Genomic DNA, 17,900 nt, shown 5'->3' with positions numbered 1-17,900 from the left:
TTATTATTGTGACAATGTTTAAGACAGTATTAATTTGTTCTTTCCTTTTCTGTGAGCCAGGGGCTAGAGATAAAATGTTCTCTTTCAAAAAGCAGACCCCAAAACAGGTCATCACATCCAAAAAGGAATAGTCATGTGGGGTTTGCATATACTTTTATGGGAGACAGAGTGGTCAGTGCAGTCTTCCAGGGGTAGGGGTAGTAGGTTTCCAGGGGTATTGTCATTAAGGGGAATCTTTGGATGCCACTGCTCTTTATAGGCAGATGCTGGCTTCTGCTGTTACCTCTTTGGGGAGTGTGCAGGCAAGTGATAGGTTGGCAAATAACAGCCCCAGGGGGAACAAACAACTTTGGGCAGAAAATGAAGGATCGGGTGCTCTTGAGTGAGGTATATTTCATGTCAGCACATTGATGACTTTTGATCTTTTTAAACATAGAGTCTGTCTACAAGCAACTGGATGAAAGAGAGCTTGTGCAATTTACAAAATGCAATGTGTCCTAAAGTGGGCATATCATATAAGCAATTTTTATAAAAGGGAAGTATGTCAATTTCAAGTAAAACTGTAAAACCAGGGTGAAACCATAGAGCCCAGTGACCCAATTTCCTAAGGATATTAGAGATTTTAACAACCAAAAATCGTTAGATGGCATACACCTCTTGGGGTTATTGCATCTATATAAGCAGCAGCAGATAATGTAATTCGATATAGCAATTGTTGGATATGGTGATGTGTGTGTTGTGTGTGTGCATTTGTGTACACATGTGCAAAGTTGAGGCCCAGGAAAACCACAGCAACACTGTGTACCTTTATGTTATTAGATTCAAAAGACAAAATTGAATATTTTAAATTGTGCTACTTTTAAATTTTATTTTTGTAAAATATACCATGAAAGTAATTTAAATGGAAGAGAACAAAGCCATTAAGTTTTTTACTACCATTGTATCATTAATATTTATTTGTTCATGGTTTATGATCATTTAAGATGGTGACACAATATTTGAAGATATCTGCCCTCTCTCCTAGGTCTCTCCTCACTTCTCCAAAGGCAGAAGATCTAATTGCACCACAGGTGCCAGGGGTTTCTCACTGTCTCTTAAAGCTTCCTCCTCTCTTGTTCCTTCTGGGAGGGAATCGGGCCATCTTATGCCAGTTTTGCTACAGTCCTTTCTGCTCCCTTTCTCCCATGGGGCATCTGGTACCATTAGATCCTCAGATTCAGACCAGCCCATGGTGGTGGTGGTAAGGTGGGTGGGCTGTGGTGAGACCTCTTAGGTCTCTAGATCACATCTGGTACTCTGTCTGGTTTACTATGGTTCCATGAATGAAAACAGGGCTTCAGGCCCTGTCTGCATCTCTCCATTTGTGTTTATCTTGGGAGAACAGTGACTGGGATCTGGGTTCGGATTCCACTATTCCAATTCCATAATATTATCATAACACCATCAAAATTGCTTAGGGTCCTAACGTTGTCCATTAAAGAAAATATTGTCATTGAGTTAATCACTTCCGTTGTTTGTGCAATTGTTCCTAATTCTTACCATCATGAATATCACTCTGATGACTGTCTTTTTGCATAAAGTCTCCCCCTGTTTACTTTAGGTTATTTTCTTGGATACATTACAGAAAATGGAATTACTGTATTCATGAAGTTGAGCAATTTCATGGCTCTAAATACGTGGTACCAAATCAGTAACCAAATGAGTGGACTAATGTCTCCCAGCATTTATGAAAGTGCCAGTTTCAATGACTCCATCTCCACCTTTGTTAAAATATATAGGGAAAATAATACTCAGAATTATTGGTCTCTTGTTTTCAATGATTTTCATTTACTTGAATTTAAAGGGAGGGTGAGTTACATTTTTTTAAAAAAGCTGTCCTCCATATTATCATTTTTCTTTAGATTTTTCCTTTTAAAGATTCTTTTGAATAGCCATAAAGAAAAGGTAAATTGGCCAGGTGCAGTGGCTCACGCCTGTAATCCCAGCACTTTGGGAGGCCGAGGCGGGTGGATCACCTGAGGTCCAGAGTTTGAGACCAGCCTGACCAACATGGAGAAATCCTGACTGTACTAAAAATATAAAAAAATTAGCCAGGCGTGGTGGCTCATGCCTGTAATCCCAGCTGCTCCGGAGGCTGAGGCAGGAGAATGGCTTGAACCTGGGAGGTGGAGGTTGCTGTGAGCCGAGATTGTGCCATTGCACTCCAGCCTGGACAATAAGAGTGAAACTCCGTCTCAAAAAAAAAAAAAAAAAAAGAAAAAAAAAAAAGAAAAGGTGAATTATTATTCTTTGAGGATATATTTGTTAGTTTGAAAATGATAAAGTCAGTTAAAGCTACATGTGGACTATACAATGGTTGATTAAGTGGGACAAAACAATTTTTAAAATTACAAATAGCTATAATTTTAAGGTAATGACTGATTTTCTTGTGTGACTTAGAAACTATCTTTGAGGCAATCCTAAAAAAGGCATTCAAGATGTGTTTTCGGCAACTCTGTTGAACAGAGATGTATTAAAATTATTAATGCCTTTTTCATTGTGAACTTCCTTGTAGGGCGAGCCTTATCAATTTCAACTTCAGGCATTCATTACCTTGGGAAATAATAAAATTCTTATACCAAGAATGCAGAAAGAAACAGAGGAAAGATTTTTGACTTCCAAAGTTGAAAATTAAAGTCCTCTGTGAGACTTTATTAGGAGAGGAAATAAATTTTTAATTCCCCAAATCCTCCACTAATATATCAAGAACAAACCAGGCTGGAGTGCAGTGGCACGATCTCGGCTCACTGCAGCCTCCACCTCCCTGGTTCAAGAGATTCTCCTGCCTCAGCCTCCTAAGTAGCTGGGATTACAGATGTGTGCCACCACGCCCAGCTAATTTTTGTATTTTTAGTAGAGATGGGGTTTCATTATATTGGCTAGGATGGTCTCCATCTCTTGACCTCGTGATCTGCCCTCCTCGGCCTCCCAAAGTGCTGGGATTACAGGCGTGAGCCACCGAGCCCTGCCGTAAGTCCAAGCATATTATTTTACTCTGTAGTGAGGACACAGGACATGACCTGAGGGGAGCTGCAGTCAGAGAAGAAGGCAGGGTAGGAAGGCCTCTCTCTGCTGGAAGACAAAGACAGGAAGAGTAGGCCAGAGAGCTAAAGTGTGAGAATGCTGTTTCTTTGTCTCTATCAACATTCCAGCCATGAGATGGTGGAGCTTAAAGACATACAAATGTGGGGGTTCACATTTTACTTCTCAGGAAAATTGACAGCATCAAAGAGAACTCTACATTCAACATGGCCCTGGAGCAAGATGGTGACAGGCACCTCTAGATTAGACATACAGAGATTGTTCATTTATGAGCCTGAGATAGTATCTGGTTATCTAAATTTAGTCCGTGTCTTTTGCAATGATATGAAGGTGTTATGGGCTTCAGTGAATAGGTAGAGACTTGGAGTCCAGATAAGAAAACCCAAGAGGTTCCTAATAGCAACAACTAATAACGAAGTATTTGTTAGAGAGCACTGAAGAATTAACCACACCTTTGTTGGACGCTAACTCAGAGCCCAAATGAGAGAAGCTGTCCACATCAGAGACCGGTGGTCTTCTGAGAAGAGCATGGGGGACGAGATGTCGTCGCCTGCCACTATCACGTTTCGTTTATGAACAGGTATCACCAAGTGAGATTCCTAAAATTTTAGTTTGCATGTTTAGCTCCTACAACACTGACATCATTGGAGTAAGTATATCTTTTCTCAAAGTGAATACTTTGAATGTGACCCCACTCATTCAGATTTATACATATTATTAAGTTTATTAAAATGACACCCTATTTGGCTCATATCTGGAATGTGTTTGTGTGGTTTACTCACCTGATTCTCTTTCAGTGTTATCTGCCCCTGTTCCTTACACCCAATGAAGGTTCTAACACATCTAAAAATCTTCTCATTTTGTTGTAGTCTCTGAACAAAGTTGGCTGGAAAGAAGCCAATTCTGTCTTGAATTTTCCCCTGAAAGGAAAAAGGAGGCATGCATCCACAATTGTAGCATGTATTATAATAGTTACCAAATGATTTTCTCTTTTTTTTTTAAAGAAAGAGGAACACTTACTTTCCACCAGTCTTCATTGGAATCCTCTAAAAGAGTAATTATGTCTCCTGGCCTAAAATGAAGAATGAATGAGTTAGGTAAAGGAAAAAAAAAGAAAAATAACATACTTTAAAGTCAGGAGTAATCATTTCTCATTTACACAAATAGTCTTAAAAGAAATAGAAATAAAGTAAATATAACTTTTACCAGTTCTTCCTACCAAGAAAATAGCTGTATTACACATTGAAGGCAAACATGATTTTATGCTGTATTTTAAAAATAACTCTTTTTTTTTTTTTTTTAAACAGAGTCTCGCTCTGTCGCCAGGCTGGAGTGCAGTGGCATGATCTTGGCTCACTGCAACCTCTGACTCGCTGGTTCAAGCTATTCTCCTGCCTCAGCCTCCCGAGTAGCTGGGATTACAGGCATCTGCCACCATGCCCAGATCATTTTTGTATTTTTAGTAGAGATGGGGTTTCACCATGTTGGCCAGGATGGTCTCAATCTCCTGACCTCACGATCTGCCCGCCTCGGCTTCCCAAAGTGTTGGGATTACAGGCGTGAGTCATCCAGCCCAGCCAAAAATAACTGTTACCTGTAGTTTGATACATAAATGATCATGAAGCTCCAAAATTTCAAGATACAAATCTCCCTTCTTCTCAGCCCCATGATCTACCTCCCGTCCCCTGTGTGTCCTTCTAGACTCCTTCCCACACACTTACATTTATACATAGATATGTTCATGTATTTTTTTTGTTTAGTATTGACATCTAGAATTGGTCATTATCTTTATCATTATCTACACCTTCCCAATACCCTCTCAAAACCTAGCACACTTTTGCTTAGCTCCATTTTTCCTGTCTGCCATCTTTTATGCTGGTGTAATTGGAGTTTTGTACTAGATTTGTGTATGTGTGCATGTGTGTGTGTGTGTCAACATTCTACATCATTCATCAAGAATTACTTGGGTTTGGCTGAAGACTAATGTGTTTTTGTTGTTTAATTCTTTCTATTCAACACAGCTGTGACAATTGGAAGGCTGTTATTTTTCACACTGGGAAAACTTTCTCTACTATTTCTTTCATGTTTTTCTCCCATCTATGATGTTCTCTCTTCTTTCCTTCTGGAACTTCTTGTCAACACATACTGGACCTTCTGAATCCATCCTCACATTTTTTGTCTTTCTTACACACTTACAGTCTTATTTTCCTCTATGTTCTTAAATTTTTTTCTCAATTTTATTTTCCTGATCATTTATTTTGTATTTGGGCTTGTCTTCTATTATTTATCATAATACTGAGAATTGTTTTAGAAAAAGTTTTCAGAAAACATTTTTAGAAAAAAATAGTTTCTAAGGGTTCTTTATTATTTCTGAAATTTTTCTTTCTTTCTCATTATTTCCTTATTCTTTTCTGAAAGAGTTCTGAAAGTGGCTTTCCATCATGGATGCAATGTTATAATGGATTGTATAGAGATTATTATATTTTCAAAACAATATTTCTTTCTTTTACTGAATATTTGTTTCCTCTGAAATTAGTTGGCCTATCCTTTATCTTATTACTTCTTTTTTATGTCAAGTATTTTTTCTAAAATCTAATGTTTCTTGGTTATCTCTTTTTATGAAAGACTGAAAATGGAAAATGGAGGTAGGTGGATGTGGACAGGCTTCTCCGCTATTCTATACCTATGGTCTGCCATGGGTCTCCCTTTCAAGTGCAAGGGCTATTTACAGGCTCTGTTTAAGGGAGCAGCGTGTGTCAATTGGTGCGTCTCCTCCCTTTTGGATACTTGAACGTATAGCAGATAAGCAGTATGGTGCCGCCTCCTCCTCCTATCCTAATAGCTGTAGCAAGGAGGATTTTCTTACCACTGGTGAGAGAAAAGGTCAGCTTATTTTTCTCCTAAGTAGAGCTGCCTTTTCCTTTTTTCCATGCCCTCTAGAAGGTCTGAAGGTCCAGAGTTATCTCAACACAGTTCTTATTTCCCAGGCTTCTATGCTCACATAAGAGCCCTCCTTAGGCATGGGTTCTTTTTCTTTAGAGTATAGGTGTTGGCTTAATTCTGGAGTTCAACATCATTGCTGCCAATTGTTCATTATAAGTAGTAATGCGGTGCTATGAATACAGTTGAGACTGTATCACTTATGTATTGTCACAGTAATGCTGTGTGATAAACAGCCACAAAACCCCAATGGCTCACTCACAGGCCTGGGTGTTGGCTGGCTTTTGCTGAGGTGACTGGGGTGACTTTGCCCTATTCCACATTTCTCATTCCTTGGAAGGTCAGTTTCATAGCAATGATCAAAGTTCAGGAGCAGTGCGTGGAAACATGCAAAGCACATGATGCCTCTAAGGCTTAGATCCAGAACTGACACATTGTCACTTTGCTTCATTTCATTGGCCAAAGCAAGTCTCAAGGCCAGTTCAGACTCAAGGGATAGGGTAACAGGCTCCATCCACCTCTGTTTTGGGAGGAACTGCAAAGTCCCATGACAGGGGCATGAATATGGGGAGGGGGGGTGAATAATTAGGGCCATTAATGCAATCAATCCACTGCAGACTCTCACGCTTTTCAGTGAAGTCCTGTGCATTCCGGGTCTCTTTAAATGTGCTCCCCCTTCTATAGCTGTTTTGTCCTGAGTATTCTTTGGTCTCTGGTCATCTTCATTGTTCACAATTCAACTGCATTTGCTGTAGTCTGCGAGGAAATTCCCAAGATTTCTGGTTCTCTCTTAGCATGCGTTCTTGTTTTCTAGTACTGTTATAGATGTGTTAAAAAAAATGTATTTTCTGACATGTTTAGGAATTGGAGCAAAAGTAGATTTGCGTATTCATTTTGCTATTCTGATCCAATCTCCTTTGCTGTCATTTTCAATTCTCAGTTAATATCTATCTTCATCAGGGATTCCAAATATAACAGGCTTGTCACATCTGCAGCATTAAGCACAACTGGCATTTTGGTATTTCAACAGTCACAGTTTCATGCTGATGCCGCAGAAAGCGAGGTGGCTGAAAATCACTCTTTCCCAGGTCAGGGATTTAATTAAGCAGCAAGGATGAAAGTCAATGTAGAAAAATCTTCTAAGCCCCAGCAGATTTTATTTAAACCAGTAACCTAAGAAACCATGAGTCAGTATCAAACACAATGACTTTGCTGCTGCTCTGGCAGAAACTGTAAATAGGGAATAAAGCTGGGGGAGGTACCTTTCCCTAAGAGTGAAAGAGGCAGACTGTGGGAGGTACCTTTCCCTAAGGGTGAAAGAGGGTGCTGCCTCAATCCGACCTCTATTTTTATAGTCTACTGAGAGACTCACTCTTGGCTGTGCCTAGAGGTGGACAGTCCCCAGCACTTGACCCTCATTAACTGAATTACACATTAGAATAAGGCACTCACTGGGATAACAGGCTATAATCTTATGAGAAATACCAGACATACTTCTGGAAGTGTGATGAGGGTTCTGTCCTTTCCTAAAAAAGAGCTCCACCAGGATCAGAAAATTGCTTGGTGAGTGATTTATTTATCCATTTATTATTTCTTTGGTTTTTGTTTACCCACTCATTCAACAAATATTTATAGAATGTGGGCTCTGAAAGAGTGTCATCTTACTAGGCACTGGGTTTACTCTGGTGAATAAAATCCTCACTAGAGCTAATAGTATAGTGAGAAAGATAGACAATAAACAAGTAAATAGATAAAAAAACTTAATAAATAGATACTAATAATAAACATATCACATATGTATAATTATTAAGTATATAATTGTAAATTGGCATAAGGACTATGAGGGAAGTTAGAAGATGTAGCCAAAAAGGACCAGTAGACTCCTCTTGAGATTAGCCAAACGCTCTAAGTACCTGGCAGAGATAGCTAATGCCTCTTTTTCACTATAGAGAGGATCTTGCTCGAGGGTAGCCCTTGAATCCAAGGTAGTAACTCTCTAACATCTAGGCCAGCAAATCTGTGGCTTGTGGGATTTTTTACTGCCCCCATATCCTTCCAGGCATCACCCAACAATCTCAGCACTCTTTCCCACAGAGCCTGCCTTCTGATTTAGAATCCTTTTCAACACTGGGCTCTAGGTGGTGGATCTGAGTAGGCATGCAAGATGAAACCACTCTGTGTAACATAGCTTATTATTTTTTATATACATATATTTTATTTATTTATTTATTTTTTTGAGATGGAGTTTCACTCTGTCGCCCAGGCTGGAGTGCAGTGGTGCTATCTCAGTTCACTGCAACCTCTGCCTCCCAGGTTCAAGCGATTCTCCTGCCTCAGCCTCCTAAGTAGCTGGGAAGAAAGGCGCCCGCTACCATGCCTGGCTGATTTTTGTATTTTTAGTAGAGACAGGGTTTCACCACGTTGGCCAGGCTGGTCTCGAACTCCTGACCTCATGATCTGCCTGCCTTAGCCTCCCAAAGTGCTGGGATTACAGGCGTGAGCCACCGCGCCTGGCCCGCTTATTATTATTTGTTAAAAATTAGTCTTGACCCAGTTTTGAGGCTCTAGCTGGAGGCTGGTCAGTTCCCCTTCTTAAGCAGCTGACTAAGTCCGCACCCCAACAACTCCTTGATGGGGGCTCTTGTACTCTGGGCCACTCTGTACCACCCCTAATGTCCCATTCTAGAGCCAGGTACTAGATAATGTGGGACATCCCCTGTGCCCTGGAACCTGTGAAAATTATTCAAATTAATCAATCTACAGGGAGCCCCTGGAAACCTAGCCTACCCCACAGCCTGCCATACATAATCTGCCTACTGTAGCTCCAGCTTCCTGTTACCCTGACTCCCACAGCAACCTTCTGTGTTGCCCTTAGTGGCAACCCTTCACTCTCAACTGTGAGTTTTCTTCTGAACCCTTTCTTAATTTAGTTATCTTCTCTTGCCATGGTGTTGGTGTGTTGTGCGATGTCATCAAAGAAACAAATGAAAACATTCTGCCAACTGGCTCAATTTAGGGAGAGCCGTGCCATTGGTCCCAAAGGAATGGTGGCCTAATGCTTAAAATTCTCCTTTCCCCAGGTTAGACTTGGCTAATCCATGACTCTGCCCTCAGTTGTTTCATGCTTCTGTGGCTGTCAGGCCCTTTCCATGGAATAATTCTTCATTCAGGTTATCACACTACAGGCACATTTGAGAAAAGTCCTTCTCTGGCTTAATAGTTATTCTCTTGCTTTTAGGAGACTTTATGTTCTTGATACATTACGTCTAGAGTTTACAATTTAACTCTATTTCCAAATTCTTGGGACCAACTTGATGGGCCCCCAGTTACTTAAAAAACATTTCCTTTGCTTAGTTCAATCAGAGCATTGTACATTCAGGTAAAGGTTTTGCTTACATTGTAATCCACAATTGTATACCATGATGTAAAGTATAATGCAATTCATAAACAATTCAAGCATCAGTTTCCTTTAGTGAAAAGAGGTCAGAGCACCACAGCTGGCCTTTTGCTTTTGTTTGCTCAGTAAAATTTGCCATAGGCCCAGAGGAAGATTTGCAAGTTAGTTATATAATGATTTATAGGAACTCTTGAAATGGTGAAAGGGCTGTGAGCTCACAAGAATTAGAATAAAATAACAAAAGCAACTACAGAATTATGGCTTACCAGTGAGGAGGACAGGGTTTAATTTTGAGTGTGTGTGTACTTGCACACATGTGCGTGAGAACCAATGGTTGCTTTCTGGGTTCATTCTCAGCAGTCCTGTCTCTCTTATTTCTCAGTTTTTCATATGGGCATTGGAACCATCTCTTCCACCACCAGGTAAACTGTCTGCAGGGACTCAGTGTACACAAAGGGTATGAATGATATGAGCTGAGCTTGGCCAGCTACATGGAACTATTCTGCAAGATGTTAGAAAGATGGTTTGATCTTCCAGGGTGGGGTCTTGGAGGAAGGAGTATGAGTTGCCCTGAGGCATCCCCCGCCCAGCCCAGCCTCTCTCCAATCCCCAAGTAGAGCACAAATTCCTAGGAGAGGAGACACGACACCCTCCAGATGAGGACACTGCTTCTGAGAGAAACATTTTCTCTACTATCTGAGACAACCTGAGACCTCAGATTGGCCCTACTTTGGGAAGCACATGGTAAAAGCAGAATGCCCTAGGGCCTTTGCTTTCTGAATGTTTTAAAATTCAAAGAAAAGGAGTCTTGTCTCACTCCTCCATTTCTGCTCATTTATCCTAGGAAAACTCTATGACATTCAAGTATTTTCTGAATGTTTATAAAACATCAGGTATTGGGTGTGCATTGGGGGATACAAAAATCAAAAAAATTATCTAAGCCTGGGTTTTCTTATCTGTAAGGTTAGGATAATAGCACTTACCCCATCAATATTTTTTGAGGACTAAATGACAAAATATTTGTAATGCATATTTAGATAAGCGCCCATTAGATGGTGGCTGTTATTGTAAAGACATAGTTACTGCCTTCAAGATGTCAGTAATTTCAAAGGATAAAGACAATAAACTGTTTAAAGTAAGGGTCATCCCTGAGGGAGAAGCAAATGCTAGCATGGTGGGGAGATGACAAACAAATATAGAACTGATCCCAAACAAAAATCCCAAATACATGTCTCTTTGAGGATTGGCTATCTCAATTATATTTATATACTTATATATTATGCATGATAAATTATTGTGAGCTATATTTACTTTGCAAAGTTAAATCTTTTTTTTCTTTTTTTTAAAGACAGTCTCACTCTGTTGTCCAGGTTGGAGTGCAATGGTGCAATCATGGGTCACTCCAGCCTCTACCTCCTGGGCTTGAGCAATCCTCCTGCTCAGCCTCCCAAGTATCTGGGACTACAGGTACATGACACCACTCCCAGCTAACTTTTAAAATTTTTTATAGGATCTCACGATGTTGCCCAGGCTGGTTTCTAACTCTTGGCCTCAAATGATCCTCCTGCCTCAGCATCCCAAAATGTTGGGCTTACAGACACGAGCCACCATGCCTGGCCTCAAAGTTAAGTCTTTATCACTGTGATTGATATACAGTAGGGCTTAAAATTGCTAATTTTCATGTAAACCTGCATTTTTCCACTTGTAAATTAGAAGATTTATTCTAATCATTGCCTTTTACGTTTATGTCTCATTAGGTTTTTGGCAGGGATGGTTGGTTAATGAAATAGCCTTGACTTCAGTGGCTTCAGACGCTAACATTTGGTGTGATTCGGAGCTATGGAAAACCTTCTCCCTCTCTTCATACTGTCCCTCTTCCCCTTCCTTGTCCACTCCACGTAGTGACCACAAAGGTGTATCAGGGCCCAGGAGCTGGACCTAGTATTCTATTACCCAGGTGGCTGATTGTAATGGAGATGTTGGCAGGGTTGAGCCTAGAGGGCGATGGCAATGTTCACTAAATGTTGTCATGAACAGTTGCATTTTCATACAAGTAGGCAGGCTAAGAGAGATTTCACCATTTACAGGCAAGGTTTGAATCTATAACTAACTCCACTAAATCAAGCTGCCTCTTGCACCACCCATGCCGTGTCAAAACTCATCAGAACTGCCCACTTTACTATATAGTTATTTTGAGCCTCTTTAATATTTCCTGCCCTTTCTCATTCATTAGGCAAAACGAACCTTAAATCAAGTTTATAGCAACCAGTCACTCAGCAAAAATAGATACCCTTGAAAAACCAAGCTGAAGGGGGCAGAAAAAGGAGCCAGCCAAATGGCTCCATTAATCTTAGATCTATGACTTAATTTTTCACCAGACTTATTTCCCAATTTACATTATCTTGGTCCAGAATCTTTTACAGTCTTGGCACATGGGTATGTAATAAGGAACTCCTGAATTTGCATTTTGATTTTGTCTTAAGCCTGATATCCACGAGACTGCCTGCACTTTCCCAAGTCCATAGACCAGCTCAGAGAAAAGCATTCAACTGAAGGGCAATTTGGAAGGAATTTGGTAAATGTTCTTGAACTGTCATGGATCACGCTCTCCAGAACCTAAATGAGAGAGGCATTTGAGTGAGAGGGAGGCTGCTAAACACATTAGTGACATTTGGGAAGATCTGGGTTTCTTGACATAGTGCAGCATCAGAGCATAATATGCATCAGAGACTTTCCTCAAATAGCCTTAATTGCATTTTGATGTCCTGGTGACTGTGAAGATTATTTTTAAATCAAATTGGTGCATTAGAATTACATTTAGTTTTAATTAAGTTGATGCATTTGCCAAGCAGTAATGTACTTAGAGAATAGAAACGAGACACCAAGGGAGCCTTATTCTGTCTTACTCTGCCTTGAAACCTTGCAGGGTGAAGGACATTAGAATGTACACAAGTCACAGGTCAGAAAGCCAATGCAGACCTGTGCACAGAGCATTGACAGAATCGGGAAACCTCTGTTCTGGTTTTTGAGTCTGCCACTGGCCCACTGCCTATCTTTGGATAAGTCACAGTTGTTCTCAGATAGTGCAGATAATCAGAATCCAGGAGGACATTTAACCATACAGATTTCCAAGTAGGATTTGACTCTCTAGGTCTAGGTGAAGCCCAGGAATCTCTATTTTAATAATATTTTTTAGGAGATTCTTATGGCTTGCAACAAGTGACTTAACCATTCTAACTCAAGTTTTCTCCTCTGTGAAATACTACTTGCTTGGGTAACCTCTGAGATTTATTAAAAGAACTCAAGAGGATGCTAGGAAAAATTATGAAAGACTTTGAAATGGGCAAAAAACATGACTGATCTGGATGTCCCGTCTGGCATATCCTTTCAGATTACCTCCCCTTTTTCAATGCCTTTGAGCTATTTTACATCTCAAGCAAGTCGTAGAAAACTGATATTAATGCAAATGATTTTTGTCCAAAGAAATGCAAGTGAACTTTGCCTGGTGGAATATAGTCAGTTATTACCCTTTATCCTGTGACTACTGACTGGTTTTGCATCTATTTGTAAATTCCTGTCAGCATTCCTCATTGCCTATGTATATGTGATATATTGAGTTCTCATTTGAACAAGGTGGAGCATCTTACTGGTTCTCTCATTAATTAATGAGCCATGTAAAAATTCTGACATGTGTTCAATTTATATTGCACGAGAGTCATGTTTTTATCTTAAATTTAAAAAATTATCCTTTAACCGGAGTGACTTCTCAGTAACATGCTCTGTAGATCACAAACTTCCTGGTCTTAGCAACCATACTTAACAAACCTAATGCACTTAAAATAAGTGATGTGAGGGGCCAAAAAGGGATAAAGTGTTACCTACTCTTGCTGATTAAAATAGAATTGTCAGCTTTATCAGAGAGAAAACTTAGAACAATGAACCTAGGATCAAAAGTGTGGTGGAGGAGAAAGATCAGTGGACTGGGAGTCACCTCCAAGGGTTCTAGTCCTAAGCTTCCATTTTCTACCTGTAAATTATTGGGCTTGGTTCTCCTACCTCACCTCCAGAAAGAGAAAAAAGAACCATACATTTTCTCACTGGAATATGAGCTAAACAGCCAAGCGTCCATTCACTAAGCATTGCCAAGTTTTAAGGCAGTCTTTCAGAATCAAGACTGGAATTAATGTAGTTATCTAAATATGCTCCTGCCTCTGCCATGAATTTTCACCACCTCTTTTTGTAATGGGGCTTGCCTTTGCCCCTGATTTGGCACCTCTTAAAGTAATTATCTGGTTCTGAAGTTTAACCCCATTATTCCCTTATGCTTTCCTCACTGGAGAGAGAGTGACTGCTCACTAACAAGGCTTCCCAGCCACCCATGACCCCTCTTCCTTCTGGAATCCCAGCTTCTTTCACGTCCCTTTGAGGCTGCTGTAAGTTACCTGGGCTACCTCACACCCACAGCCCTGCACACTGGATTGTAACTTCTGATCTACTCTTCTGCTGGTCCCCTGGCCCATGACTGCCTGAGCTCTTTGAGAACAGGGCCTGTGAATGGTTCTCCCAGAAAAGAGCAGATGCTTGGCTATCATGCGATGAGAGGTGAATAGATGAAGTAAATCCTGGAAATAGCATACAAGAGTTCACATCACTTTTAACTCTTTTTAAAGTAGTGCTTTGAAAATACCCCAAAGAGATGAATTCAGGCCATCCCATCTCCAGAAATTCTGGCAAATACTAACTAATGGGAGAAATGATTGCTTGCTTTCATTCAGACTTGCCCATGGAGAATCTGAGACTTGCTGCTTCCAGGAGCGGCCGTTCATGAATCTAAATTTGCACTTGGCGTTACAAAAGAAGATAGGTTTTCTTTGAAGCCCCCCAAATTTAGGTGTTCTGACATACATTGAAGTAGTAATTAATTTGTATTTATTTTAGGATTTAATAATACTGAAAGAGCAGTTCCCTCTTTTCCTCTCTTGGCTTATAGTCTTTTTTTTTCCTTCTTTTTTCTACCCTTATGAAAAATGGCCATTATCATATAAATCTGTTTGAGGAGAGCTAATAAAAACGAAAATGATTTAGATGTGGGAAGTCAAAATTAATTATTTGGAACAGGCATTGTATGATTGCTAAAATATGCATTTAAACCTTTAAATCTTTTATTTACTCTCAATCCTTTGTTACAGTGTCCCTAAGATGTTTTAGGAGTTTATGTTTACTTGAAGTCATTTATATCTGCTGATTATTTACATAAAATATCAACTCAGCAAAGTCATGAAAGTCATTGTTGATTGAAAAGTTTTTATCAGCTTAAAAAAGGTGCCTTGGTGTGAATAATAAGTGATAACTCCAAGACTCTGTTTTGCAGACTGCTGAGCCCAAAAGCAGTGAGGATAATGTGACTGGTTACGTTGTAAGTGTTGAAGGCAGGATTTAATTTCATCAAAACTAAGTGTGGGTTATCAAGCTTTGGCTAACAATGTGTGTGTGCTTGTGTGTGTGTGAATGAATGTGTACTTGAATGTGTATAAGTGTGTGTGTATGTGCATGTATGTGTGTGTGTGTGACTGTGAGTGTGTGTGGGAGGTTATTTACATGTATAAGTGTATCACACACATGTACACACCCACTTGGCCAGAAGGATGATGTGACATATGGTCTATGTTAATTCACAGAGCAGTATATGATAATAATGACAACAGTGCTGATTATAATAGGGTTCTCCAGTTTGTATTCTATTTTCATTAATTAATTAATTTAGATAGATAGATAGATAGATAGGGTCTAGCTCTGTCATTCAGGCTGGAGTGTAGTGGTGTGTTCATAGCTCACTACAGCCTCAACCTCCTGGGCTCAAGTGATCCTTCTGCTTCAGCTTCCTGAAGAGCTAGGGCTACAGGTATGCACCACCATGCTTGGCTAATTTTTTATTTCTATTTTTGTGGAGATGGTGTCTTTCCATGTTGCGCAGGCTGGTTTTGAACTCCTGGGCTCAAGCAATACACCTGCGTTGGCCTCCCACAGTGCTGGGATTACAGGCATAAGCCACTGCACTTGGCCATGTATTTTTAGCAGCATTTAAGAGCTTTGTTCATGAATTAAACTGGCAGTCCATAAAGTGTAATTTTCAGGGCTCTTCAAAAAAGTTGATAATAAGGGTAATTGGTGGAACCTGTCCAAGACTCTTAATTTCAGGAGATTATCCACTATACCACCCTGCTATACCCTGATAGGAGAACCTGGGTAGCCCTTTAATGTTATCAGGCCTCAAATTGTCAGCAATGTTCGAGACCCCATGCATGATGGCATCACAGCTTGGGTATCAGTGATAAAATTTCATATTATAGCTCATCATGTCAGCAACTGCAAAACCTGCTCCCAAGATAAATATTGGATATCACAGCCCCTTTTTGCTGGACCAGTTGGACAAGGTCTCATTGGGCCTGCTCAAAGGGAGAGTCTTTAACTGTGTTTTCTCTACTCTATATCCTTAGGGTGGTGTTAATGAGGTTGTTCAGAAGACTAGGAGAGAAAATACATTGTGAAAAGATGTAATTATGAAGAGAAGGTATCTAAAATCTACTGTGACCTCACTTTGTACTGGGCATGAAATTCCACATTTTATTTATATTATCCTGTTTAATACCCAGTCTTCCTAGGAAGGAGAAAACTGAGGCTCTAAAAGATTAAACAGTTTGCTAAAATTGACACAGATAGTGTCAGAGTTGGAAACTAGACCCAGGCCTATCTGACTGCCAGAAATTTCTCTTTTCTGTCTTGCCAGCTTGCTGTCCTGCTCTCTGCCCTTGATGGTGGAAAGATAGAGAATTATCATGGTCTGCATTACCTCCAGAGGTTTAGGTGGGAAATAGCAAATTAATTTATAAAGGAAGTTTATTTCTAATTTTTCATGGCAGTGTGAAAAAAAATAAAGGAAGTTTATTTTGCACTGGAACTGTAGCAAAGGAGACTGTATAAAGTCTCTGCCTTTATATGGGATTTGGAGACTAATGATGGGTCCATGGCACTTCTAAGAAAAGTATTCACTCACCTAAGAACAAGAGGGCAGCAACCAGCTCTTCCTCTTGTGAAAGGAAAATAAAATCTCAGGACTCTAAGCTCACTATGTCAAAGGGAAAATATGAGGGCTGGGCACGGTGGTTCGCGCCTGTAATACCAGCACTTTAGGAGGCTGAGACGGGAGGATCACGAGGTCAGGAGTTTGAGACCAGCCTGGCCAACATGATGAAACCCCGTTTCTACTAAAAATGCAAAAATTAGTGGGGCGTGGTGGCAGGTGCCTGTAATCCCAGCTACTTGGGAGCCTGAGGCAGGAGAATCACTTGAACCTGGGAGGTGGAGGTTGCAGTGAGCCAAGATTGCGCCACTGCTCTCTGGCTAGGGCAACATGAGTGAAACTCTGTCTCAAAAAAAAAAAAAAAAAAAAAAAAAGGAGAAAAATGAAAAACTGTTAAGCTTGGGATCTGAGTCACGCAACAACTGCCTTCCTTTTTGTTCCTAAACGGATAGTTGCAAAGATAGAAGGCCACATATCTCCCCAGGTGGGCTCCCTCAAATTGCTCACAAGGAAATTCCTTGTGGGCCCCAAACTCTACCCTAAAACAGAGTTCTGTTGAATCTCACCCTGACAATATAAGTTAACAGCTTTTCCTCACAGGTACAGGACAAAGACAAGACTAGAAAGCATCCCTCCACCTACCTGAGACAAATCTGACTGCTTCCTCTACTCTGTGTTTATTCATATCTTATGTAAAATGCAGATTTACTGCTGAACACCAGACAAATGGGTAACTGACTGTTCCTCTACCCGCTTTCACTTGTAACATGTGGATTCAGTGAGCATTAATCAAAGTCTCACAAGAATGTCATCACGTATCTCACTACCTACCCTCCCCACTTTTTTTCTTTCCTCCTTACCTTCCTGATGCCCTTTCCCCTTCAAACACTGAAGTCTTCAAAACCCTTTTTGGAAAAAGCACAGACCACTTATCCTACTGTAGCTTGCATCTCTTTTTCCCAGGCACATTCTCAACCCTGGCAAAATAAACCTCTAAATTGACTGAGACCTGTCTCAAACAGTTTATGGTTTATACTCTCTGAGGCCACCCTTCCTCTCAGCTGTGAGAGCTTCAGTAAAGGCTTAGCAGGGCTTCTTCCAAGTTGTCTTAAAACCATTGTTATTTGTGAATGGAACCACAGGCTACTTTTGGCCTCCCCCTTTACAATTTCTTCTTGATGAATAACATTTATCCTAGGCTCAGGCCCATCTGTTCCAGGAAACAGGCCCCCTGACTAACCACCCTCAGCTTGGTTTGCTTCCTCATTTATAGTTTCCATTATATTATTATTATTATTATTATTATTATTTGGAGACAGAGTCTTGCTCTGTCACCCAGGCTGGAGGGCAATGGCGTGATCTTGGCTCACTGCAACCTCCACCTCCCTGGTTCAAGCAATT

At 40.4% G+C, this 17,900-nt stretch overlaps 1 protein-coding gene across 9 annotated transcripts in view; it reads right to left on the bottom strand.

The window, feature by feature from the left end:
- Nucleotides 1–17,900, bottom strand: part of STAC (SH3 and cysteine rich domain) — a 167,504-nt gene that overhangs the window by 15,159 nt on the left and 134,445 nt on the right. For all 9 annotated transcript variants that reach the window (XM_047448767.1, NM_003149.3, NM_001292049.2 and 6 more), the window contains 2 exons: nt 4,102–4,153; nt 3,864–4,001 (listed from right to left, as the gene is read on the bottom strand). In XM_047448767.1, the coding sequence (XP_047304723.1) occupies nt 3,864–4,001; nt 4,102–4,153 (190 nt within the window). The remainder of the gene's footprint in view (nt 1–3,863; nt 4,002–4,101; nt 4,154–17,900) is intronic.

The sequence above is a fragment of the Homo sapiens genome, chromosome 3, assembly GCF_000001405.40.
Source record: "Homo sapiens chromosome 3, GRCh38.p14 Primary Assembly".
Taxonomy (NCBI): Eukaryota; Metazoa; Chordata; class Mammalia; order Primates; family Hominidae; genus Homo; species Homo sapiens.
The sequence above is the reverse complement of the archived record's forward strand: the minus strand, read 5'-3'. Positions and strand labels throughout refer to the sequence as shown.